The sequence below is a fragment of the Homo sapiens genome, chromosome 1, assembly GCF_000001405.40.
Source record: "Homo sapiens chromosome 1, GRCh38.p14 Primary Assembly".
NCBI lineage: Eukaryota > Metazoa > Chordata > Mammalia > Primates > Hominidae > Homo > Homo sapiens.
In genome coordinates, this window is record NC_000001.11 from 150,336,512 (window position 1) to 150,363,545 (window position 27,034).

General features: G+C 44.1%; 1 protein-coding gene across 14 annotated transcripts in view, besides 3 other annotated features; it reads left to right on the plus strand.

Moving 5' to 3' along the window:
• The window catches only part of PRPF3 (pre-mRNA processing factor 3), a 31,766-nt gene extending 15,044 nt beyond the window's left edge, over positions 1–16,722 (plus strand). For 3 of the 14 annotated variants that reach the window (XM_047433995.1, NM_004698.4, XM_011510130.4), the window contains 9 exons: positions 1,649–1,815; positions 3,887–3,966; positions 6,798–6,941; positions 7,651–7,750; positions 7,923–8,036; positions 9,507–9,625; positions 9,897–9,980; positions 12,646–12,707; positions 16,322–16,722. In XM_047433995.1, coding sequence (XP_047289951.1) covers positions 1,649–1,815; positions 3,887–3,966; positions 6,798–6,941; positions 7,651–7,750; positions 7,923–8,036; positions 9,507–9,625; positions 9,897–9,980; positions 12,646–12,707; positions 16,322–16,468 — 1,017 coding nt within the window. In that variant the 3' untranslated portion in view covers positions 16,469–16,722. Of the gene's footprint in view, positions 1–1,648; positions 1,816–3,886; positions 3,967–5,518; positions 5,642–6,797; positions 6,942–7,650; positions 7,751–7,864; positions 8,037–9,506; positions 9,626–9,896; positions 9,991–12,645; positions 12,708–16,321 lie in introns of those variants that run through there. The other 11 variants (NR_146767.1, NR_146766.1, NR_146768.1 and 8 more) reach the window with 10 other exon arrangements.
• Positions 25,931–26,873: an enhancer, noted in NCBI's record as "H3K27ac-H3K4me1 hESC enhancer chr1:150334918-150335860 (GRCh37/hg19 assembly coordinates)". NCBI's record gives its function as "activates a minimal SCP1, AML or CMV promoter by ChIP-STARR-seq in primed H9 embryonic stem cells {active_cell/tissue: H9 hESC(primed)}" and the evidence as "EXISTENCE:reporter gene assay evidence [ECO:0000049][PMID:30033119]".
• Positions 25,931–26,923: a biological region, named in NCBI's record as "H3K27ac-H3K4me1 hESC enhancer GRCh37_chr1:150334918-150335860".
• Positions 26,854–26,923: an enhancer, noted in NCBI's record as "active region_1684". NCBI's record gives its function as "activates an Ori minimal core promoter by ATAC-STARR-seq in GM12878 lymphoblastoid cells {active_cell/tissue: GM12878}" and the evidence as "EXISTENCE:reporter gene assay evidence [ECO:0000049][PMID:35858748]".

Consider the following 27,034-nt stretch of genomic DNA (forward strand, 5'->3'; position numbering starts at 1 on the left):
CTTTGGGAGGCCGAGGTGGGTGGATCACGAGGTCAGGAGTTCAAGACCAGCCTGCCCAACATGGTGAAACCCCGTCTCTACTAAAAGTACAAAAATTAACCGAGCGTGGTGGTGGGTGCCTGTAATCCTAGCTACTTGGGAGGCTGAGTCAGGAGAATCACTTGAAACTGGAAGGCAGAGGTTGCAGTGAGCTGAGATCGCACCACTGCACTCCAGCATGGGCAAAAGAGCGAAACTCCGTCTCAAAAAATATATATATATATTTATTAATATAATACATAATTTTTTTAGCAGATTTTACTTCCTAATTCGTTTCTACATAAGTGGAAATATTATGAAATTGAGTTTGAAAATTCTCCACATACAACTAAGTGGAGGGAAACAATTTGAAACATTCTGAGTGACTAAGGAAGGCTTGCCTGTAGTTAAAATTTAATGAGACAGTACACCTGGAGAGTTGAATTGATTGTATATTGAATGACCTTTGCCGCCTTTTTATCCTCTCAAAGTGAGGTTTTCATAAAATTCCTTTTTTTTTTTTTTTTGAGACGGAGTCTCGCTCTGTCACCCAGGCTGCAGTGCAGTGGCACGATCTCAGCTCACTGAAAGCTCCGCCTTCCAGGTTCATGCCATTCTCCTGCCTCAGCCTGCTGAGTAGCTGGGACTATAGGCGCCCGCCACCACGCCCGGCTAATTTTTTTGTATTTTTAGTAGAGACGGGGTTTCACCGTGTTAGCCAGGATGGTCTCGATCTCCTGACCTCATGATCCTCCCGCCTCGGCCTCTCAAAGTGCTGGGATTACAGGCGTGAGCCACCACACCCGGCCATAAAATTCTATTTCTGCGTATTTACTGCAGGCATATACTGTGGAGTGCAGGGAGGGGTTGAAGGTGAGATCTATGTATATGAACTAAATAAAGGATAAAATAAAGCAGAACAACTCCTTTCTAAGCTTTCAGAAATTATGAACTTGTTGCGTTAGGTGTAAAGAGTTCAACGGGGAAGTGTTTTAAAATTTGGGATTCTTGGCCGAGGTGGGCGAATCACTAGGTCAGGAGATCGAGACCATCCTGGCTAACATGGTGAAACCACTTCTCTACTAAAAATACAAAAAAATGAGCCGGGCGTGGTGATGGGCGCCTGTAGTCCCAGCTACTCGGGAGGCTGAGTCAGGAGAATGGCGTGAACCCGGGAGGTGGAGCTTACACTGCACTGCACTGCAGCCTGGGTGACAGAGTGAGACTCCGTCTACAAAAAAAAAAAAAAATATTTGGGATTCTGGCCGGGCACAGTGGCTCATGCCTGTAATCCCATCACTTTGGGAGGCCGAGGCGGGCAGATCACCTGAGGTCGGGAGTTTGAGACCAGGCTGAGCAACGTGGAGAAACCCCATCTCTACTAAAAATACAAAATTAGCTGAGGGTGGTGGCACATGCCTGTAATCCCAGCTACTGAGGAGGCTTAGGCAGGAGAATCGCTTAAACCTGGAAGGTAGAGGTTGCTGTTAGCCAAGACCATGCCATTGCACTCCAGCCTGGGCAAGAAGAACGAAACTCCGTCTCAAAAAAAAAAAAAAATTGAGATTCTACACATTCTGTTTTCTATGACTCCAATTTATCTTTCTGTCTTGGATTATCTTGTTTTTAGGCTCAACTGGAGAAGCTACAGGCAGAGATTTCACAAGCAGCTCGAAAAACAGGCATCCATACTTCGACTAGGCTTGCCCTCATTGCTCCTAAGAAGGAGCTAAAGGAAGGAGATATTCCTGAAATTGAGTGGTGGGACTCTTACATAATCCCCAATGGCTTTGATCTGTGAGTTTGTTTTAGTACCTTTTTAAAAAAACAGTTTTTAATCAGCTGAGTTTAAGACTCAAGTTAATACCTTTTAGTAAAGCTATGGTTTTAGTGGGAAGGATGGTACTCATTCATTAATTAAAATTTTTAAATCCAAGAGAGATAAGTAACTGTACACAAGGTCCTGTTATTTTTTTTTTTTTTTTTTTTGAGAGGGAGTCTCGCTCTGTCACCCAGGCTGGAGTGCAGTGGCACGATCTCAGCTCACTGCAACCTCCACCTCCCGGGTTCAAGAGATTCTCCTTGAATTCTCCTTGAATCTCAGCCCCTCAAGTAGCTGGGACTACAGGTGTGTGCCACCATGCCCATCTGCTTTTTGTATTTTTGATAGAGACAGGGTTTTGCCATGTTGGCCAGGCTGGTCTCGAACTCCTGACCTCAGGTGATCCGCCCACCTTAGCCTCCCAAAGTGCTGGGATTACAGGCGTGAGCCACTGCACCTGGCCAAGCTCCTGCATTTGTAAGTGATGTATCATATATATAGGCTGTTTTTAGCTTTTGGGGTTAATGTAGGATAACCAGGGACACAATCTACAAAAGCAAAGTCTAGAATTCTTTTTGCTCTGTTACACATTGTTGCCTGTTTTTAGCATTATTTTCCTTAATTACATTCTTTTGCTACGTATTATAGGTGTTTACATTTCCTAAAGATCTCATTGTGATAGAGCAAGGATTATTAGTTGGTAGGTGAGATAATAGTAAATATAGCATATAAGGCTGGGCTCGGTGGCTGACACCTGTTATTCCAGCACTTTGGGAGGCTGAGGGCTGAAGGATTGCTTGAGCCCAGGAGTTAAAGACCAGCTTGGGCAATATGGTGAGACCTCGTTTCTACAAAGATTAAAAAAAAAAAAAAAGTAGCTGGGCATGGTGGCTTGTGCCTGTAGTCCTGGCTACCCAGGAGGCTGATGTGAGAGAATCACTTGAGCCCAGGAGGGTCTGTGCTGCAGTCAGCTATGATCATGACCACTGCACTCTATCCTGGACAACAGGGTGAAACTCTGTCTCAAAAAAAAAAAGGATATAAGACACATTTGAAGAGCTTTAAATATATCTGCTCCATCCATTTTTTTTTTTTTTTTCCTGAGACGGAGTTTCGCTCTTGTTGCCCAGGCTGGAGTGCAGTGGAGCAATCTTGGTTCACCACAGCCTCCGCCTCCTGGGTTCAAGTGATTCTCCTGCCTCAGCCTCCCAAGTAGCTGAGATTATAGGCATGCACCACCACGCCTGGCTAATTTTTGGTGTTTTTAGTAGAGACGAGGTTTCTCCATGTTGGTCAGGCTGGTCCCAAATTCCCGACCTCAGGTGATCCACCCGCCTCAGCCTCCCAAAGGGCTGGGATTACAGGCATGAGCCACCACGCCTGGCGTTTTTTTTTTTTTTTTTTTTTTTTAAGACAGAGTCTCACTCTGTTGCACAATCTCGGCTCGCTGCAACCTCTGTCTCCTGGGTTGAAGCAGTTCTTCTAGCTCAGCCTCATAAGTATCCGGGACTACAGGCAAATACCACCACACCTGGCCAGTTTTTATATTTTTAGTAGACAAGAGTTTCACTATTTGGCCAAACTGGTCTCAAACTCCTGACCTCAGGTGATCCACCTGCCTTCATCTCCCAAAGTGCTGGGATTATAGGCATAAGCCACATCACCTGGCCCTGCTCCATCATTCTGATACATGGCTTTAGTAGATTTTGTCTTAGCCTTTCGTTGCCCCTTCTTTGTCAGCCACTGTTCCAGGGACTTATTGTCACTAATGAGAGAACATAGCGTCTGTCAGCTGTGGCATGGTAGAAAAAAGGTTGAGAATGATTGCTGTGGAGAGTGTGTTCAACCATAGAGGGACTCAGTTTTCTCATCATGAAAATTATGTGTAATTTAACTATATATTTTAGGTACCTAAATGCTATTTTAGGTATATCAAGCACAAGAACCCATTATAGAGAGTGGGTTTTTTCATTGTATTTCTGAGACTCCTCTCTTAGAATCATCTCTACCCGCATATCGTGTTTTCTTTTCTTCCTACAATTTTAGTACAGAGGAAAATCCCAAGAGAGAAGATTATTTTGGAATCACAAATCTTGTTGAACATCCAGCCCAGCTCAATCCTCCAGGTAATGTATAGATTCCTGAATCAAGTCTCTAGAGCAGCATTACCCATTGGAAATTTATACAGTGAGGAACATGTTCTGTATCTATGCTGTTCAATACAATAGCCACTACCCATGTGTAATTCTTTTTTTTAATTCAGTTTTTTTCCTGACAATAGTTTGTTGTTTGACCAGTGAACATACATTTTAAGTGCATATTCCTGTGCTTAGAATTTCATGAGACAGCCAAGCATGGTGGCTCATGCCTCTAATCCAAACACTTTCGGAGGCCAAGGCAGGAGGATTGCTTGAGGCCAAGAATTCAAGACCAGTCTGGGCAACACAGTGAGACCCATCTCAAGGAAAAAAAATTTGGCTGGGTATGGTGGCTTATGCCTGTAATCACTGCACTTTGGGAGGCTGAGGTGGGCAGATTGCTTGAGCTCAGGAGTTCGAGATCTAGGCAACATGGCAAAACCCCATCTCTACAAAAAATAAAAAATCAGCCGGGCATGGTGGTGTGCATCTGTAGTCCCAGCCTCTTGGGAGGCTGAGGTGTGGAGGATGGCTTGAGCCTGGGAGGTGGAAGTTGCAGTGAGCTGAGATGGTGCTGCTGCACTCCAGCCTGGATGATACTGCCAGACCTTGTCTCAAAAAAAAAAAAAAAAAAAAAAGAAGAAAGAAAGAAAGAAAAAAACCCAAAATTTCATGAAGCTTTACATTTACAGTTCCCTGGTTGTTCCTAGGAAAGAGCCCTCAGCTTGCTCCTTTTATAGAACCACATGTTGTTGTGGCATCCACAGCTAAATGCAAATGCAAGAGCCAAACTCTTGGGTTGGTGTGTTATTAGATGCGATATGCTCCACTACCCACTGTGAGGGATGCTAATTCCAAAGGGCTTTTTGTTAGTTTCCCAAAGTTGAAACTGGGAAACAAAGTTGCTTCTATTTTTTTTTTTTTTTTTTTTTTGAGGAGGAGTTTCGCTCTTGTGGTCCAGGCTGCAGTGCAACGGCATGATCTCAGCTCACCACAACCTCTGCCTCCTGGGTTCAAGCAATTCTCCTGCCTCAGCCTCCTGAGTAGCTGGGATTACAGGCATGTGCCACCACGCCCAGCTAATTTTGTATTTTTAGTAGAGACAGGGTTTCACCATGTTTGGTCAGGCTGGTCTTGAACTCCTGACCTCAGGTGATCTGCCAGCCTTGGCCTCCCAAAGTGCTGGGATTATAGGTGTGAGCCACCGCGCCCGGCCTTTTTTTTTTTTTTGAGTTGGAGTTTCGCTTTTGTCACCCAGGCTGGAGTGCAATGGCACTATCTCCGTTCACTGCAACTTTCACCCCCCTGGGTTGAAGCTATTCTCCGGCCTTAGCCTCCGGAGTAGCTTGGATTATAGGTGCCTGCCACCACACCTGGCTAGTTTTTGAACTTTTAGTAGAGACAGGGTTTTGCCATGTTGGTCATGCTTGTCTTGAACTCCTGACCTCAAGTGATCTGCCCACCTAGGCTTCCCAAAGTGCTGGGTTTACCGGCGTGAGCCACCGCACCTGGCCCTAATTTTGTTTTCTACATTTGCCAGGTATCATTGAATGAGGGGGTTTAACAGCTTAAAGGAAAACAACTAAGAACACTACTTAAGAAAGATAAGAGGCCAGGCGAGGTGGCTCATGCCTGTAATCCCAGCACTTTGGGAGGCCGAGGCGGGCAGATCACGAGGTCAAGAAATCAACACCATCCTGGCTAACAAGGTGAAACCCCGTCTCTACTAAAAATACAAAAATTAGCCAGACGTGGTGGCGGGTGCCTGTAGTCCCAGCTACTCAGGAGGCTGAGGCAGGAGAATGGTGTGAACCCAGGAGGCAGAGCTTGCAGTGAGCTGAGATTGCGCCACTGCACTCCAGCCTGGGCAGCAGAGCGAGACTCCGTCTCAACAAAAGGAAAGATAAGAATGTTTTTTAAAAACATAGCCATATTGCCGGGCACCAGGCCTGAACTGATTTTAATCTTACTGATCCCTTATTAACGAGTTTTCTTCATTTTCTATTTAAAGTTTATACACACACACACACACACACATGTTTTTTGAAATGGAGTCTCGCTGTGTTGCCAGGCTAGAGTGCAGTGGCAAGTGGCACAATCTCGGCTCACTGCAACCTCCACCTCCCGGATTCAAGTGATTCTCCTGCCTCAGCCTCCCGAGTAGCTGGGACTACAGGTGCGTGCCACCACGCCCAGCTAATTTTTGTATTTTTAGTGGAGTCAGGGTTTCACCATGTTGGCCAGGCTGGTCTCGATCTCTTGACCTCGTGATCTGCCCACCCGTGCCTCCCAAAGTGCTGGGATTACAGGTGTGATCCACCGCACCTGGCCTCAATATATTTTTTACATAAAATGTTTATAATAGAGTTGGGTCTCACTTGGTTGTCCAGGCTGGTCTCGAACTCTTGGGCTCACGCCATCCTCCCACCTTGGCCTATCAAAGTGCTAGAATTACAGGCATAAGCCACTGTGTCCAGCCTAAAGTTTCTTTTAATGATATTGATATTTACCTAGGTTTCTTTAATATTTTTATTGCTGTCCGGGCCTGGTGGCTCATGCCTGGCCAACATGGTGAAACCCCATCTCTACTAAAAATACAAACATTAGCCAGGCATGGTGGCGTGTGCCTGTAATCCTAGCTACTCGGGAGGCTGAGGCAGGAGAATTACTTGAACCCAGGAGGCAGAGGCTACAGTGAGCTGAGATCGTGCCATTGCACTCCAACCTGGGTGACAGAGTGAGAGAGAGAAAAAAAAAAAATATATATATATATATATGTATTCTTACTGCTTTGGTATACTAATATCTCTGCCTGACAGTTGACAATGACACACCAGTTACTCTGGGAGTATATCTTACCAAGAAGGAACAGAAAAAACTTCGGAGACAAACAAGGAGGGAAGCACAGAAGGAACTACAAGAAAAAGTCAGGCTGGGCCTGATGCCTCCTCCAGAACCCAAAGGTGCATTTCTCAGTGGCCTCTTCTGTTAAAAAGAGTGGCAAGTTTATGTCTTTAATCCTGGAGGAACTTTAACATCTCTGTGTTTGAGTGATTTCTGTTTCTAAGAATTATTCTTGGGGTCCTTTTTCTCCAAGTTTTCTACCATCTTTTCATATTAAGATAGGTCAACACATTCATTATAGAGGCCATTTATGGCTTATTTTTAAGCATACTGATCATACAACACTCTGGTTTTCCTGGAAGAATACAGGTCTTGAAATTCATGGAGATAGTAGTTGCAGTATTTGCGTAGACTTTTTATGTACATAATTCTTAATGTTTTAATTTTTACAATGAAAGTACAGGATAAAAAACTTGACCCTGTAGTTACATTCTCGTTCAGCAGTATTTTGACTGAGCACTATTATTTATAAGCTCTTTCACTAGATGCTGTGATCAGTGTGAAAAATATGAAAGGAATTAAGTTCCACGTCCTTCATAAATTTTCAGATAATGTAAATGCATACCAATCTTCAACTTAATTGTGTGAACTTCTGCAAATGCTGAAGTGATTGGATGGGATTTTCAAGATAGGAGTTATTGGAGGAAGTGAGTTTAGAGCAGAGATTTGAAATAGGTAAATAATATGAATTGGTATGGAAGAAATAACAAGTTACTCCAGCTGGAGAAGTGACTTCAAAGACTGATTGTTGTCCTCTCTTCACTGCAGTGAGAATTTCTAATTTGATGCGAGTATTAGGAACAGAAGCTGTTCAAGACCCCACGAAGGTAGAAGCCCACGTCAGAGCTCAGATGGCAAAAAGACAGAAGTAAGTGCCATGGGATTGGGTGGAAACCTCGGGCAAGTACCTTTCCCAAACTCTTCTGGGGGGTCCATATTTGGAGGGAGGGGAGAGTTCTCCGTTGCTCTCTCTTTCCCTCAGCCCTGCCTCTGATCTTCAATGCCTTTCTCACTTGTGGATGTCCTTCCTGTCACGACAGAGCGCATGAAGAGGCCAACGCTGCCCGAAAACTCACAGCAGAACAGAGAAAGGTCAAGAAAATTAAAAAGCTTAAAGAAGACATTTCACAGGGGGTACACATATCTGTATATAGGTAGGTGTCCATACTGGGCCAAACTTCCCCTTAGAATTACTAAAACATTTTCCAAGTGCTTGAGGCAGAATCATTGTGGCCTAAAAGCATACCTAACACCAGTTCCTACTCTCTTTTAATGACCCTAGTGTGGATCAAGAGCTAGTAAATCTTGTAAAATAGCGAGAGTTAATGACTTATGTTTATGGTTACCCAGTTCTTCCCTCTCAAGTCTTCTTTTTTTTTTTACCAGAATATTAGTTCTGAACAAGTCAATATACTTGTTCAGGCCAAGATGTGAACTAAAGATTGTATGTCCTTTGAGAACTATAAAATATCATCCTATTTCTTTTTTTTTTCATCTTTTTTTTTTTAAATGGTCTGAGTTTGCTTCCAACATCCATGGAAGCATTACAAATTTTCTTTCCTCCGTAGTCATATCCTTACCCTGATGTATTGCTGTGTTTCATCCTCACTCCAAAATGCATTTTATATGTTGTAAATATTTTTCTACCTTTGTGTTGATTTAATGTTTTTATTCTTTTATGTTGAGTACATGTGTATCTTCTATTTTTAAAATGTGCTTATTTCTATTAACTAGTTCTTTATTATAAAAGTGGTACATTATCACAAAAATAGTGAATGCTTATTAAGATTTAAAAAATTGTCTGACAACACAGAAGAATACTTACTCAAAATGTCTCCTTTCTATTCTCTGATCCCTTAGAACCACTCTCTTTAGGTAATTGCTATTAACAGTTTTTCACATATCCTCCTAGAAAATTTTCATGCCTATATAGTGATCCTATATATATATTTTATTTATTTATTTATTTATTTTGAGACGGAGTTTCAGTCTTGTTGCCCAGGCAGGAGTGCAATGGCGCGATCTCAGCGCACTGCAACCTCTGCCTCCCAAGTTCAAGCAATTCTCCTGCCTCAGCCTCCTGAGTAGCTAGGATTACAGGCACGCACCCCCACGCCCGGCTAATTTTTGTATTTTTAGTAGAGATGGGGTTTCACCATGTTGGCCAGGCTGGTCTTAAACTCCTGACCTCGTGATCTGCCCACTTTGGCCTCCCAAAGTGCTGGGATTACAGGCATGAGCCACCGCACCCAGCCAAGTAATCCTATATTATAAGAGTCTAAGGGTCTAGAGGACAAAAAGTCTGTAGGTCTTTACATTGTCAAGAACAATGAGATTGTAAGTATTTTTGGATGATAGTAAATACCTCTCCCTGACTCTTAGAGTAAACTTTGGTTAGTAATGTAATGGTTAATGTAAAGTGCTAGACTTTGAAGAAATGTAAGAGTGTGGAAATATTTCTAGACTCATCAACTCTACCTTTTAAGCATTCATCTATTTGTTTACTCCAGAGGCCTTTGTTTATAGAGAGGAAACCATTTTGGATTCATCTTTTTACTTGCCACTCCATTCAGGCAGCTGCTGATGCTAAAATGGAAGACATAACTAAACTTTCCCTTCTCCAGAGTTCGAAATTTGAGCAACCCAGCCAAGAAGTTCAAGATTGAAGCCAATGCTGGGCAACTGTACCTGACAGGGGTGGTGGTACTGCACAAGGATGTCAACGTGGTAGTAGTGGAAGGGGGTGAGTCTGAAAAACTTGAGGGAGACTGTCCCCAGACAACCCTAGGCTTAGAGTGATTAGCATTGTGGGGAGAAAGGAGAAAAAGATCGTATTTTAGTGCCATACCTGATATAATATGCTAGGTCTCTGCTTCTGTGTTTTTTGGAGTAGAAGGCCCTAAGATGTGGTTCCTGAGATTGCTTCAACTACCACATTAATGTCTGAGCTCAGAGGTTCTTTCTACCCCATCATCTTCCACAGTTCTGGCAAAATTATTCTTCTCTGTTTCCAGGCCCCAAGGCCCAGAAGAAATTTAAGCGTCTTATGCTGCATCGGATAAAGTGGGATGAACAGACATCTAACACAAAGGGAGATGGTGAATGGGGGTTAGAGGGGATTAAGGGGGAGAGCTATGGGAGGTGGGGATGGTGCATCTGTCCGTTCATCTTATTTCCTCCCTGTGACACTCTTGATAACACTAGATAGTGTTCAGGAATTTTAGAAAGACCCGTTTAGACTTTGAGCCTCCTAGACATTCATACAATATTTACTACATGATTATATGCATGAATGGTAAAGCTATTTTTTTGCCTATCATTTAAGGCTTTTCTACCAGCTGGTTTCTGTGTCTGTCCTGGATCTGAGTACCGGTTACATGAATTTATTCAGTATTTGAAAATTCAGCAAGCAGCTAGGCATGGTGGCTCATGCCTGTAATCCTAGCACTTTGGGAGGCTGAGGCGGGCAGATTGCCTGAGGCCAGGAGTTCGAGACCAGCCTGGGCAAACAACGTGGTGAAACCCCATATCTACAAAAAGTACAAAAATTAGCTGGATGTGGTGGCACACACCTGTATTCCCAGCTACTCAGGAAGCTGAGGTGGGAGGATCACTTGAGCTTGGGGAGGTCGAGGCTGCAGTAAGCTGTGATCGTGCCACTGCAATCCAGCCTGGGTGACAGAATGAGACCCTGTCTCAAAAAAAAGAAAAAGCAAATCTAGTAAGCTATACATTCATGTGTACAGTGTCTATATTATATTATTATTTGATTTTTTTTTTTTTAAGGATTGAAGCCAAAAAGATCTTCAGGTCAAAAAAGCTCTGCTTTGATCAAACTATTTCTTTTGTCTGATATATATATATACACACATACACATACATACACACACACACACATACATACACACATGTACACACACATACACATACACACAATACACACACATACATGTACATGTACATACTCACACATATGCTCTTCAACTTAATGATGGGGTTAGTTCCAATAAACCTGAGATAAATTGAAAATATTGTTAAGTCAAAAATGCATTTAAGGCCAGGCACGGTGGCTCACACTTATAATCTGAGCACTTTGGGAGGCCGAGGCGAGCAGATCATTTGAGGTCAGGAGTTCGTAACAGCCTGGCCAACATGGTGAAACCCCGTCTCTACTGAAAACACAAAAATTCGGGGCGTGGTGGTGGACCTCTGTAATCCCAGCTACTCGGGAGGCTGAGGCAGGAGAATCGCTTGAACCTGGCAGGCGGAGGTTGCAGTAAGCTGTGATCGCACCACTGCACTGCAGCCTAAGCGACAGAGCAAGACTCCATCTCAAAAAAAAAAAAATGCATTTAATACATCTGACCTACAGGACATCATAACAGCCTAGCCTTCCTTATACTTTCTCAGAATACTTAGATTAGCCTACAGTTGGGCAAAATCATCTAACACAAAGCCTATTTTTATCTCATGTAAGAGTATTTTACTGCATATTGCTAGCCCAGGAAAATCTCAAAATTTAAAATTTGAAGTACATTTTCTACTAAATATTTATCACTTTCACACTATACTCAAGGCAAAAAATTGTAAGTCAAGGACTGTCTGTCTATATTTGAAGGCCAGACATTCTTCTGGCCATCATACTCCCATTAGTGTTCATTCTTCTCATCTTTGAACACCTGGATTAGCATTTAAAATCTGCAGAGAGGCCTGGTGTGATGGCTTATGCCTGTAATCCCAGCACTTTGGGAGGCCGAGGCGGGTGGATCACCTGAGGTCAGGAGTTTGAGACCAGCCTGACATGGTGAAACCCCGTCTCTACTAAAAAATACAAAAATGAGCTGGGCGTGGCAGCGTGCGCCTGTAATCCCAGCTACTCGGGAGGCCTAGGCAGGAGAATCACTTGAACCCAGGAAGCGGTTGCAGTGAGCTGAGATCATACCACTTCACTCCAGCCTGAGTGACAGAGCAAGACTCCGTCTCAAAAAAATAAAAATATAAATAAAATCTGCAGAGAGTTCATCTTAAGATACCTGAGAATAAAAAATATTTTGTTCTACACGTGCATTTTTTTTTTTTTTTTTTTGAGATGGAGTCTTTGCTCTTTTGCCCAGGCTGGAGTGCAGTGGCACCATCTTGGCTCACTGCAGCCTCCGCCTCCCAGGTTCAAGTGATTCTCCTGCCTCGGCCTCCTGATAAGCTCGGATTACAGGCACCTGCCACCACACCTGGCTAATTTTTGTATTTTTAGTAGAGATGAGGTTTCGCCATGTTGGCTAGGCTGGTCTCAAACTCTTGACCTCAGGTGATCCACTCACCTCAGCCTCCCAAAGCGCTAGGATTACAGGCGTGAGCCACCACGCTGGCCGATAATTTTGATTTGGTATATCTGCCCTCCTCCTCCATTGGGTGAAAGTTTTTTGAGAGTAATATATGATGTTGACATATGAAGCCTGCCTCCCAAAGTGCCTAGGACAAGTTTTTATTCTTGACTGCTTGTCTTTTATTTCCTTATTCCCAGTACCTGGTGGAGCTCTTGATTCATAACAAGTGCTATGTAAATGCTAATTGTATCAATTAATATTACTGCCTACTTGGAGCTTCAAGTCTAATTTGGGGAAAATAAAGAGCAACAGAAAAGAGAACACTTGGTCCAACACATAAAAAGGGTGATAATATTTTAGAGAGTTTGGGTAGACTTGAATATTATTTGTTTAGAACCTGAATCTCAAGTCTAAGTCTGTAACAAGATTTCTCTTCCAGATGATGAGGAGTCTGATGAGGAAGCTGTGAAGAAAACCAACAAATGTGTACTAGTCTGGGAGGTAGGTGATCCTTTGTAAAACATTGTAAAACTTTAGCCAACTCCTGAATATTTATACTATTTGAGTGGAGCAATGGAATGTAAGATGTAATCAGTGAATAATGTTTTAAATAATTTATGTTTCTTTTTGGAATCCATTTTTAAATGGTTGGCAGTAAATTCTTCCTGATCATCTGTTTAATTAAATTCGTGAGTATTTAGTATATGCTATCTGGGGAAGTGCGTGGACAGTGCTGCTGGTAGCAGGAATACAAATTCTCTACCGAAAATTATTTATTTCACAGTCATGAATATGAGACTTGGAAACGGGAATGAATTGTTGTTGGATTTACCTTTGGATATAGTGAAGGAAGTACTAGACTTAAGAATATAAAGTTAGGAGGCTGGGCAGTGCTGCTTATTAGCTGTGCAATCTGGGCAAGACACTTAATGTCAAATTCTGTTGCCTTAGCTATTGTTCTCTATATTGTCAAGTTTTTGAGAATGAAATTAGATAATTATGTGATAGTGCTTCATAAAATGTGACTGAATCACTCTTCAAGTGGAATATTTTTTATGGTTATCTAGTTCTTTAACCCCTGAAGCCTTCTTAGAGAACCAGTATTAAAACCAGTATTAATGTTTTCATGTTTGCTTTTAGGTATAGTACATGTATATCTTTTTTTGGGGGCGGGGGGGCGGGGGGCGGTATGGAGTTTCGCTCTTGTTGCTCTTGTTGCCCAGGCTGGAGTGCGATGGCGTGATCTCGGCTCACCGCAACCTCTACCTCCCAGGTTCAAACGATTCTCCTGCCTCAGCCTCCCAAGTAGCTGGGATTACAGGTGCACGCCACCATGCCCGACTAATTTTTGTATTTATAGTAGAGACAGGGTTTCTCCATGTTGGTCAGGCTGGTCTTGAACTCCCAACCTCAGGTGATCCGCCTGCCTCGGCCTCCCAAAGTGCTGGGATTACAGGCATGAGCCACTGTGCCCAGCCCCTCCATTTCTTTTTTTTTTTTTTTGAGAGAGTTTTGCCCTTGTTACCCAGGCTGGAGTGCAATGGTGCAATCTCAGCTCACCGCAACCACCGCCTCCTGGGTTCAAGTGATTCTCCTGCCTCGGCCTCCCGAGTAGCTGGAATTACAGGCATGAGCCACCACGCCTGGCTAATTTTGTATTTTTAGTAGAGACGGGGTTTCGCCATATTGGTCAAGCTGGTCTCGAACTCCTGACCTGAGGTCCGACTGCCTTGGCCTCCCAAAGTGCTGGGATTACAGGCATGAGTCACTGCGCCCGGCCATATATCTTCTATTTTTAAAATGTGCTTATTTCTAGTATATGTGCTGCTGAAGCGAGCAGTAAAATGTGCTTATTTCTATTAATGAATTCTTTATTATAAAAGTGGTACATTATTACAAAAGTAGTAAATGTTTATTAAGATTAGAAACAAATTCTAATTATACAGAAGAGTACTTACTGAGACCCAGCACAGTGGCTCACGCCTATAATCCCAGCACTTTGGGAGGATGAGGTGGTTGGATCACTTGAGCTCAGGAGTTCAAGACCAGCCTGGGCAATATGGCGAAACCCCGTCTCTACAAAAAATACAAAAATTAGCCTGGCCTGGTGGCGTCTGCCTGTAGTCCCAGCTACTTGAGAGGCTGAGGTGGGAAGATTGCTTCAGCTTTGGAGTTTGAAGCTGCAGTGAGCTGTGACTATGCCACTGCACTCCAGCCTGGGCACCAGAGTGAAACCCTGTCTTAAAAAAAAAAAAGAAAAAGTCTCAGGCCAGGTGCAGTGGCTCATGCCTATACTCCCAACACTTTGGGAGGCTGAGGTGGGCGGATTACGAGGTCAGGAATTCGAGACTAACCTGGCCAACATGGTGAAACCCAGTCTCTACTAAAAATACAAAAATTAGTGGGGCGTGGTGGCCAGTGCCTATAATCCCAGCTACTTGGGAGGCTGAGGCAGGAGAATCGCTTGAATCTGGGAAGCGGAGGTTGCAGTGAGCCGAGATCGCACCATTGCACTCCAGCCTGGGTGACAGTGCGAGACTGTGTCTCAAAACAAAAGTCTCTTCCTATTCGCTGATCTCTTCAGACCAGTCTTTATAGGTAATTGCTATTAATAGTTTTTCTTCTGAAGGAGCAATCAAAAAATAAAAATTAAAAAAAAAGGTTTTCATGTATCCTGCCTTATCCCAGATTCTTCAATTTATGCATACAAATTAGATGATAATAACCATAGTATTTGTTCTCTGTTTTATAAGTTCCCACCTGCATATTTGTTATCTTTTTTTAATCAACTTTTTTTTTTAGAGATAGGGTCTTGCTCTATTGCTCAGGCTGGTGTGCAGTGGCGCAGTCATAGCTCGCTACAGCCTTGAACTCCTAGGGACAAGCAATCCTCCAGTCTCAGCTTCTCAAGTATCTGAGACCTCAGGTCCACACCACTGTGCCTGGCTAATTTTTTTTTTTTTTTTTTTTTTTTTTAGAAATGGATCTCACTATGTTGCCTAGGCTTGTCTTGAACTCTTAGCCTTGAGTGATCCTCCCACCTCAGCCTCCCAAAGTGCTGGGATTATAGGCATGAGCTACTGTGCCCAGCCCTACCTTCACATATCTCAGCACCCTCATCTTTCAATTTTCTTCTATTTATCTCTGAAGAGTACTTACTGAAAAAGTCCCGGCTTCTTAGAGAACCAGTATTAATGTTGTAGGAATTTAGTTTTCAGGAATTGTCTCTCATGTTCAGAAATAAGCCAAGTTCTGCTCCAGCCTCCTTATTGGAGTCTACTCCCTGAACGCCTCTTGAGGTATTGCTTTATGACTGCCATTGCTGCTGGTAACTTTGGCAAGAATGCCATTCTGCCCAGTACTGTCTTTTTCTGTTGTAATTCTCTGCTGGTACCTGCTCTTCTTCTGTTCCCCGCCCCCAGTTGTTCTTTGTTGCTGGGCCCCAAAGCCTCCTGCTTATATAAATAGTTTCTGGGGCCTTTTTGAAGGCTCAGATTTAGTCCTTAAGGCCTGGTAGGAGATAAGTTTATCTCATTCCACCTTCCATAGTTCTTCCTGACTTGCTGTTCCACCCAGGCACCAGAGCAAATAATTCCTCACTTCATTTCAAAAAACTAAAAGCCTTATGCATATGAATTCGTAAAATCTCATACAAATATCCAAGGAGGCCGGGCGCGGTGGCTCACGCCTATAATCCCAGCACTTTGGGAGGCTGAGGCGGGAGGATCACGAGGTCAGGAGATCGAGACCATCCTGGCTAACACGGTGAAACCCCGTCTCTACTAGAAATACAAAAAATCAGCTGGGCGTGGTAGCGGGCGCCTGTAGTCCCAGCTACTCCAGAGGCTGAGGCAGGAGAATGGTGTGAACCCGGGAGGCGGAGCTTGCAGTGAGCCGAGATCGTGCCACTGCACTCCAGCCTGGGCGACAGAGCGAGACTCTGTCTCAGAAAAACACAAATATCCAAGGAAATGGAGGTCACAATTTTTTTTTAACCATAAAATCACGTTCAGCTGGGCACATGTCTCACAAATGTTACTAGGTCTTCTTATAAAAGAATATTATCTGATTTAAATAAGAAATTGAAGTGTTTTTATTATATATCTCTTTTCTAGGGTACAGCCAAAGACCGGAGCTTTGGAGAGATGAAGTTTAAACAGTGTCCTACAGAGAACATGGCTCGTGAGCATTTCAAAAAGCATGGGGCTGAACACTACTGGGACCTTGCGCTGAGTGAATCTGTGTTAGAGTCCACTGATTGAGACTACTGCAAGCCCTTGCCTCTCCTCCCTTGCCTTTGTCTCTTCAGTCCTCTCACTTATTCTATTTCCCAACCCCCTCCCACTTGTTTGTGTGATCTCAGAACTGTGCCAAGCAGACACTGGGACAAAGGGAGAATATCTTGCTCCCCTCCTGAGTCAGCCTGGTGTTGCCCTTTATTCCCCTTATGTGCATATGATTAAAGAGTTATTTTTAAACTTGGTGTGATATTTTTCACACATTCGTAAGTATTAGAGTTTGGGTCTACAGGTGATCTTTTTTCCGGACTTTTAGCAATTGCTGTGGAAAAAAACATTTTTTGTCATTGACATTTATTTATATATATAAATGGATGAATGGATGGATGGATAGATGGATGTGTATTTTTGAAGTCTAGTGGAAATGTTTGATCTCATCCTGGAGCTAGAATGATAAATACTGTTTTCCTGGAGCAGAATGAAGCAGGGAGATGTGTAAAGTGGTAAGGGAGGAAGGAGGGACAAATGAGTATCCATCCCTTAACCAAGAGAATCACCAGGTTAGACAGATTACCTCAGGACTTGGCTAAGTAGTCTTTCCAGGAAATCAGTTCCTCTAAGGGATGCATATGTGGGAATGTGTGTTGTGGGTGAAATGGACACAGGGAAAGTCCAAGGAGGATGCTATGGGTCAGTTTGTAAAGTGGAATAGGATTTAAGAATTTAGCCCATTTTGTCTCTTTTACTAGTTTAAAAATCCGCTTCTAATAGAAATTGTGTAGTTTTTTTTTTTTTTTTTCTATCTATGAATCCGACTACATGTGGGTGGTTTTATTTCAGCATTTAATGTTTCTGGTTTGATTTTAGGAGTATTTGAAGTCCAAAATTTTTACCATACCTATCCTTCCGTTTCATATTGCCTCTGTTGGGAATGGATCAAACAAGTCAATAGAGCTCCCATACCTTCTTGCTAGGTGGAGCATGCTATGAATTGGTATTGGAGAATGGATGTTTGACAAAAAGTTAAAACATTCTGTGTTATAAAATTAACCCCCTTTAAAAAAAAAAATCTGTATTTCAGGTCCTGGTCAGAGTTCCAACTTTAAGGTAGTATTAGGGAGCACTACCATCAAGGAGGTGGGAAGAGATAGGGGACCACACAGGGCTTTGAGGTAAAACTAGTGCAACTTCTCTCCTTCTTAATTTTAATTTTTTTTTTTTTGTTTTTTGTTTTTAGACCGAGTCTCGCTCTGTCGCCAGGCTGGAGTGCAGTGGTGTGATCTCGGCTCACTGCAACCTCCACCTCCCAGGTTCCAGCAATTCTCCTGCCTCAGCCACCCGAGTAGCTGGGACTACAGGCGCACGCCACCACACTCAGCTAATTTTTGTATTTTTTAGTAGAGATGGGGTTTCACCATATTGGCCAGGCTGGTCTCAATCTCCTGACCTCGTGATCTGCCCACCTCGGCCTCCCAGAGTACTGGGATTACAGGTGTGAGCCACCGCGCCTGGCCTGATTTTAATTTTTTTGAGCTCCAGCTCAAAGGATTCTCCTTTTTTAGAGATAAGCAAGCTGAGCTTGGTGGCTCCTGCCTGTAATCCCAGCATTTTGGGAGGTCGAGGCAGGCAGATCATCTGAGGTCAGGAATTCGAGACCAGCCTGCCCAACATGGTGAAACCCCATCTCTACTAAAAATACAAAAAATTAGCTGGGTGTGGTGGTGGGCACCTGTAATCCCAGCTACTTAGGAGGCTGAGGCAGGAGAATTGCTTGAACCCAGAAGGCGGAGGTTGCAGTGAGTCAAGATCGTGTCACTGCACTCCAGCCTGGGCGACGAGAGCAAAACTCCTTCTCAAAAAAAAAAAAAAAAAAGGCCAGGAGTGATGGCTCACGCCTCTAATCCCAGCACTTTGGGAGGCCGAGGCGGGTGGATCACGAGGTCAAGAGATTGAGACCATCCTGGCCAATATGGTGAAACGCTGTCTCTACTAAAAATACAAAAATTAGCTGGCATTGTGGCACGTACCTGTAGTCCTAGCTACTTCGGAGGCTGAGGCAGGAGAATCACTTGAACCTGGGAAGCGGAGGTTGCAGTGAGCCGAGATCGCGCCACTGCACTCCAGCCTGACGACAGAGCCAGTCTCCGTCTCAAAAGAAAAAAGCCAAAAAAAGAGATAAGCACGGCTGGGCGCAGTGGCTCACGCCTATAATCCCAGAACTTTGGGAGGCTGAGGTCGGTGGATCACCTGAGATCTGGAGTTTGAGACCAGCCTGACCAACATGGAGAAACCCCATCTCTACTAAAAATACAAAACTAGCCGAGCGTGGTGGTGCATGCCTGTAATCCCAGCTACTCGGGAGGCTGAGGCAGGAGAACTGCTTGAACCCAGGAGGCAGAGGTTGCCCTGAGCCACGATCGCACCACTGCACTCCAGCCTGGGCAACAAGAGCAAAACTCCATCTCAAAAAAAAAGAGAAAAGCAAACTAACCCAGATGAGTGAGGCTCATCATCTGAAGGATGGTACAGGATGAAATCTTTGAAATAACTCTAGCTTACCAGGACACAGCAATGAAGATTTTGAGTGCTTACTAGTAATTATATCTATGAAACTTGGGAGCTAGAGAATTGAACTAGCTATTTTAGTATTTCTTGATTTAAGCAAATGCAGGGGAAAAATTCATTGTCATAAAAATGAGTGTTTTTGTTCTGTTAAAGGATTTGTTACAAGTATATGTGTAAATAATTTATACACTACTTCAAAAATGAATTGATTGCATAAGATCTAAAAGAAATATTTATATTACAATATGCTATAGTTTATTGTAATGTACCCATAATGAGACTCAAACTTGTCTTGAGTATATCACTCGTCTCTCTGTGCCTCCAGGTGTTAATTGTTGTTAAATTTTCTCAAGCATTACCTCCTTATTTCTCCTTACAAACTTATAAGAGATATGCATTTTAGAGGTGAGGAATCTGAGGCTTAGAGTAAATAATTTGCCCAAGTTTATGACTTAGTAAGTTGTAGAGCTTGATTTGAACCCAGATTTGTTTGAGTACAGACCAAACTGAGCCACTAAGTGTATATTGCCTCATTTGTACAATAAAGAGGTAGGGACAGATATGTTCTTTCAAATGAATGTTATTCTCAGGATAGTTCTTACCTGGGGATGCTGTTATCACTGAAAATACTTTGTGAGCTGGGCGCGGTGGCTCATGCCTGTAATCTCAGCACTTTGGGAGGCCAAGGCGGGCGGATCACGAGGTCAGAAGTTCGAGACCAGCCTGACCAACATGTTGAAACCCCGTCTCTACTAAAAATGCAAAAATTAGCTGGGCATGGAGGCGCGCGCCTGTAATCCCAGCTACTCGAGAGGCTGGGGCAGGAGAATCACTTGAACCCAGGAGGCGGAGGTTGCAGTAAGCGAGATCGCGCCACTGCACTCCAGCCTGGGCGACAGGGCAAGACTCCATCTCAAAAAAAAAAAAAACAAAAACTTTGTGAATTTTGGTAATTTCATCTATTTCCAGTCCTTTTTGAATACCTTTAGTTAACGGCAGTTATTAGTTTTGGAAGAGTCATTTTTTTCATTTTTTATTTTCATTGGAAAGAGTTTTAGAAACCCTTTGGCTGGAATTAATAAATGATTATAGTAAGGTTGCAGGATATAAGGTTACAATACAAAAATCAGTCGCTCTCCTGTATACGAGTAATGAACAAGTAGAATTTGAAATTAAAAGCAATTCCATTTACATTAGCACCAAAAGGAAGTGGAATACTTAGGGATAAATCCAAATATATGTAAGATCTATATGAAGAAAACTACAAAACTCTAATAAAAAAAAAACTAAATAAATGCAATGGTATGTCACATTCATGGTAGGAAGACAGTATTGTAAAGATGTCAGTTCTGGTTGGATGTGGTGGCTCATGCCTGTAATCTCAGCACCTTGGGAGACCGAGGCTGGAAGATCATTGAGACCAGCCTGGACAACATAGGGAGATCCCATCTCTGCAACTTTTTTTATTTTTATTTTTTTTTTGAGACAAGGTCTCGCTTTGTTGCCCAGGTTGGAGTGGTGTGGCATGTTCTCAGCTCACTGCTGCCTTGACGTCCCAGGCTCAAGCAATCCTCCCACCTCTCAGCCTCCCGAGTAGCTGAGTCTACAGGCACATGCCACCACACCTGGCTAGTTTTTAAATTTTTTTGTAGAGACGAGGTATCACTTTGTTGCCCAGGCTGGTCTCCAACTCCAGAGCTCAAGTCATCTTCTTGCCTTGGCTTCCCAAAGTGCTGGGATTACAGCGATGAGTCACTGCACCCGGTCTACAAAAAATTTAAAAATAAAATTAGCCAGGCATGGTGGCATGTGCATGTGGTTCCAGCTACCTGGGCTGGGAGGATCACTTGGGCCTGGGAAGTACCATTGCACTCCAGCCTGGGTGACAGAGTGAGACCCTGTCTCAAGGAAAAAAAAAAAATCCAATAGAGTTGAAGGACTGACATTACCCAACTTTGAGAATTACTGTAAAGCTACAGTAATGAAGGTGGTGTTGTTGTTGTTGTTGTTGTTGTTGTTTTGAGACGGAGTCTCGCTCTATTGCCCAGGCTGGAGTGCAGTGGTGCAATCTCGGCTCACTGTAACCTCCATCTCCCGGGCTCAAGCAGTTCTCCTACCTCAGCCTCCCGAGTAGCTGGGATTACAGGCACCTGCCACCATGCCCAGCTAAGTTTTGCATATTTTTAGTAGAGATGGGGTTTCACCACACTGGCCAGGCTGGTCTTGAACTCCTGACCTGAGGTGATCCACCCGCCTCGGCCTCCCAAAGTACTGGGATTACAGGTGTCAGCCACCGTGGCTGGCTTTTTTTTTTTCTGAGACGGAGTTTCACTCTTGTTGCCCAGGCTCGAGTGCAATGGTGCAATCTTAGCTCACTGCAAACTCCACCTCCCGGGTTCAAGTGATTCTCCTGCCTCAGCCTCCCAAGTAGCTGAGATTACAGGCATGTGCCACCATGCCCAGCTAATTTTGTATTTTTAGTAGAGATGAGGTTTCACCATGTTGGTCATGCTGGTCTTGAACTCCCGACCTCAGGTGATCCACCAGCCTCGGCCTCCAAAGTGCTGGGATTACAGGAGTGAGCCACCATGCCCAGCTGGTAGTATAGTATTGGTGAAAGAATAGATCAGTGGAACAGAGTAGAGATCACAGAGATAGACTCACATAGTCAACTGCTCTTTGATAAAGGAGCAAAAGCAATATAAAGGAGAGATAATCTTTTTTAAAAATTGGTGTTGGAACAACTGGATGTTCACATGCAAAAAAGTGAATCTAGACACAAATTAACTCAAAATAGGTAACAGACCTAAATGTAAAATGCAAACCTGTAAAGTACCTAGTAGATAACAGAAAATGTAGCTGACTTGGGGTTGGCCTTGACTTTTTTTTTTTTTTTTTTTTTTTGAGATGGAGTCTCACTCTGTCACCCCCGCTGGAGTGCAATGGTGTGGTCTCTGCTCACTGCAACCTCTGCCTCCCAGGTTCAAGCGATTCTCTGGCCTCAGCCTCTCGAGTAGCTGGGACTACAGGTGTGTGTCACCACACCCAGCTAATTGTATATTTAGTAGGAATGGGGTTTCACTTAGTTGTCCTGGCTGGTCTCGAACTCCTGACCTCCTGATCCGCCTGCCTTGGCCTCCCAAAGTGCTGGGATTACAGGTGTGAGCCACCGTGCCCAGCCAGCCTTGACTTTTTAGAAACAACACCAAAGGCATGATCTATGAAAGAAAAAATTATAAACTGGACTTAATTAAAATGAAAAATTCTGCTGTGCAAAAGACACTGTCAAGAAAATGAAAAGAAGGGCTGGGTGTGGTGGCTCATGCCTGTATTCCCACACTTTGGGATGGTGAGGCAGGCGGATCACTTGAAGTCAGGAGTTCAAGACCAGCCTGGCCCATATGGTGAAACCCCGTCTCTACCAAAAATACAAAAAATTAGCCGGGCATCATAGTGGGCGCTTGTAATCCCAGCTACTCAGGAGACTGAGGCATGAGAATTGCTCGAACCCAGGAGGCGGAGGTTGCAGTGAGCCGAGATCACACTACTGCACTTCAGCCTGGGCAACAGGGCAAGACTCCATCACCAAAAAAAAAGAAGGCCTCATACTGGAAGAAAATATTTGCAAAAGATGTATCTGATAAAGGACTTATCCAAAATATACAAAGAACTCCTAAAACTCAACACTAAGAAAATGAACAACTCAATTAAAAAGTGGGGCTGGCGCGGTGGCTCACACCTGTAATCCCAGCACTTTGGGCGGTCAAGGTGGGCGGATCATGTGAGGTCAGGAGTTCCAGACCAGCCTGGCCAACATGGCGAAACCCTGTCCCTACTAAAAATACAAAAATTAGCCGGGCATGGTGGCACATGTCTGTAATCCCAGCTACCTGACATGCTGAGGCAGGAGAATTGTTTGAACCCAGGAGGCTGAGGTTGCAGTGACCTGAGATCCTGCCACTGCACTCCAGCCTGGTCAACAGACAGACTCCGTTTAAAAAAAAAAAAGGGCCCGGCACGGTGGCTGACGCCTGTAATCCCAGCACTTTGGGAGGCCAAGGCAGGCAGATCACTAAGTCAGATCGAGACCATCCTGGCTAATGGTGAAACCCCGTCTCTACTAAAAATACAAAAAATTAGCTGGGTGTGGTGGCAGGCGCCTGTAATCCCAGCTACTCGGGAGGCTGAGGCAGGGGAATGGCGTGAACCCAGGAGGCGGAGCTTGCAATGAGCCGAGATGGCGCCACTGCACTCCAGCCTGGGCGACAGAGTGAGACTCCGTTTCAAAAAAAAAAAAAAAGTGGGCCGAAGACCTTAACGGACACATCATCAAAAAAAGATACAGAGATGGCAAATAAACATATGAAAAGATGCTCCACATCAGGCTGGGCACAGTGGCTCACACCTGCAATCCCAGCACTTTGGGAAGCCAAGGTGAGCACATTACCTGAGGTCGGGTGTTCAAGACCAGCCTGACCAACATGGAGAAACCCTGTGGCTACTAAAAATACAAAATTAGCCAGGCATGGTGGCGCATGCCTGTGATCCCAGCTACTTGGGAGGCTGAGGCAGGAAAATCGCTTGAACCTGGGAGGCGGAGGTTGCAGTGAGCCAAGATCGTGCCATTGCACTCCAGCCTGGGCAACAAGAGCAAAACTCCTTCTCAAAAATTAAAAAAGTCCATGCACAGTGGCTCATGCCTGTAATCCCCACACTTTGGGAGGCCGAGGCGGGTGGATCACCTGAGATTGGAAGTTCAAAACCAGCCTGACCAACACGGAGAAACCCCATCTCTGCTAAAAATACAAAATTAGCTGGGCGTGGTGGCACATGCCTGTAATCCCAGCTACTCAGGAGGTTGAGGCAGGAGAATTGCTTGAACCCAGGAGGCAGAGGTTGTGGTCAGCCAAGATCACTCCAGCCTGGGCAACAAGAGCAAAACTCCGTCTCAAAAAAATAAAAAAATGCTCCACATCATATGTCATTAAGGAAATGCAAGTTAAAACAACAATTAGATACTGCTACACACCTATTAGAGTGGCCAAAATCCAAAAGATTAACAACATTAAATGCTGGTGAGGATGTAGAACTGATGGAAATGCAAAATAGTAAATCCACTTTGGTAGGTTGATGATTTTTTCTTTTTTTAAGTAGCTGGGATTACAGGCATTCGCCAACATGCCCAGCTAATTTAGCATTTTTAGTAGAGACGGGGTTTCTCCATGTTGGTTAGGTTGGCCTCGAACTCACGACCTTAGGTGATCTGCCCATCTCGGCTTCCCAAAGTGCTGGGATTACAGGCATGAGCCACTGCGCCTGGCCGATTTCTTTCTTTCTTTTTTTTTTTTTTTTTGAGAGGGAGTTTCAGTCTTGTTGCCCAGGCAGTAGTGCAATGGCGTGATCTTGGCTCACTGCAACATCTGCCTCCCAGGTTTAAGCAATTCTTCCGCCTCAGCCTCCCAAGTAGCTGGGATTACAGGTGCCTGCCACCATGTCCAGCTAATTTTGCTTTGTTTTATTTTATTTTATGTATGTATGTATGTACTTATTTTGAGACAAAGTCTCACTCTGTCACCCAGGGTGGAGTGCAGTGGCGCGACCTTGGCTCACTGCAACCTCCGCTGCCCAGGTTCAAGCAATTCTCCTGCCTCAGCCTCCTGAGTAGCTGGGATTACAGGCATGTGCCACTGCGCCCGGCTAATTTTTTGTAATTTTAGTAGAGAGGGGGTTTCGCCACATTGGTCAGGCTGGTCTTTAATTCTTGACCTTGTGATCCACCCCACTTGGCCTCCCAAAGTGCTGGGATTACAGGTGTGAGCCACCGCACCTGGCCCTGTATTTTTAGTAGAGATGGGGTTTCACCATGTTGGTCAGGCTGGCCAGTTTCTAACTCTTGACCTCGGGCGATCCACCGGCCTCGGCCTCCCAAAGTGCTGGGATTACAGGCATGAGCCACCGCGCCCGGCCTTAGGTTGATGATTTCTTACAAAAGTAAACATATTCTTACCATATGATGTAACAATTGTGCTCCTTCGTGTTTACCCAAGGAGTTGAAAATATATTCACCCCAAAAGCTGTACAGAGATGTTTGTAACAGCTTTATTCATACTTGCAAAAATGTGGAAGCAACCAAGATGTCCTTCAGGTGAATGGATAAATAAAACTGGCACATCTGGACAGTGAAATATTATTCAGCACTAAAATGAAATGAGCTATCAAGCCATGAAAAGACATGGAAGAAACTGAAATGCATTTTTTTTTTTTTTGAGGTGGAATCTCATTCTGTTGCCCAGGCTGGAGTGCAGTGGCCTGATCTTGGCTCACTGCAACCTCCGCCTCCCAGGTTCAAGTGATTCTCCTGCCTCACCCTCCGGAGTAGCTGGGACTACAGGCGTGCGCCACCATGCACGGCTAATTTTTGTATTTTTAGTAGAGACGGGGGTTTCACTATGTTGGCCAGGCTGGTCTCGAACTCCTGACCTCGTGATCCACCCACCTCGGCCTCCCAAAGTGCTGGGATTACAGGCATGAGCCACCGTGCCCCGCCTGAAATGCATATTATTAAGTGAAAAAAGCCAGTCTGAAAAGGCTACATACTGAATGATTTCACCTATATGACATTCGGGAAAAGGCAAAACTATGAAGACAGTAAAAAGATTAGTAGTCGCTAGGGGAATAAGGGGGAGGGAAGGATGAATAGGTGGAACACAGAGGTTTTTAGAGCAGTGATACTGCTCTGTATGATACTGTAATGGTGGATACATGCACATTTGTCCAAACTCAAGGTATAACACCAAGAGCGAACCCTAATGTAAACTATGGGCTTTGGGTGATAATGTGTCAGTGTAGGTTTGTCAGTTGTAACAGATGTATCGTTCTGGTGCGTGACATTGATAATGGGGGAGGGTATTCATGTGTGGGGGCAGGTGGTATATGGAATTCCTTGTGCTTTCCACACAATTGCCGTGAATCTAAAACTGCTCTAAAAATAGTCTATAAAAAAGTGGGTCTTTGGCTAGAGTTACAGAAAAAAAAAAAATGTGGGGTCAGGACCAGGCATGGCGGCTCAAGCTTATAATCCCAGCACTTCGGGAGGCTGAAAGCAGGAGGACTGCTTGAGGCTAGGAGTTTGAGACCAGCCTGGGCAACATAGGGAGACTCCCCCTCTCAAAAAAATGTTGTTGTTGTTGTTTTGTTTTTTTAGCTAGGTGTGGTGGTGCAGGCCTGTAGTCCCAGCTACTTGTGCTGCTGAGGCAGGAGGACCACTTGAGTCTGGGGGATTGAGGCTGCTGTGCGATATGATAGTGCCACTGCACTCTAGCCTTGGCAGGGACAGAGCGAGACTGTATTTTAGAGCCTTTGCACTTGCTGTTCCTAATGCCAGCATGTTCCGCTCCCCGTCTCGCATATCTGCTTGGTTGCTTTTTTCTCAATGTTCAGATCGAGTTATTTCTTTCGAGAAGACTTCCTGGTTCACCATACCACCATTCTTATACTGGCGCGTGCGTGCCGTGCACACGTACACACACGCGCGCACACACACACACCCCTTTCTCCCTTACCCTGCTTCACCTTTTTACAGAATTTAATACTGTCTGAAATGTACTTGTTGGTGGTGTCCTGCCACTAAATCCCGGAGGGAACGGATTTTTGTCTGTTTTGCTCCCCATGATCTAAAACAGTACTTGGCACAAGAGGTTCAACAACTCGTTGAATTAATGAATAGTGGACATGAACTTGACAAAACAGGTTCCCTGCCTCAAGAGGCATGGCCGCAGTGAGGAGACGTTAAAAGAATTAAAACTGTATATGTTTAGTGGGAACACAGGAGCCTTTAAATTAGCTCAGAGGATTTACATAGATACCTGCGATAAAATGGTTCGTATAAGGTTCATATAATAGTTACGTAAGACTCTTGAAAACTGTAATGTATTATGCAATTTTAAGATTGTATCATAGCTGGCGAAAATGAGGTCACATCTTGCCATTCTTTTTTCGCCTCGAAAAATTTTATGAGGAAAATTT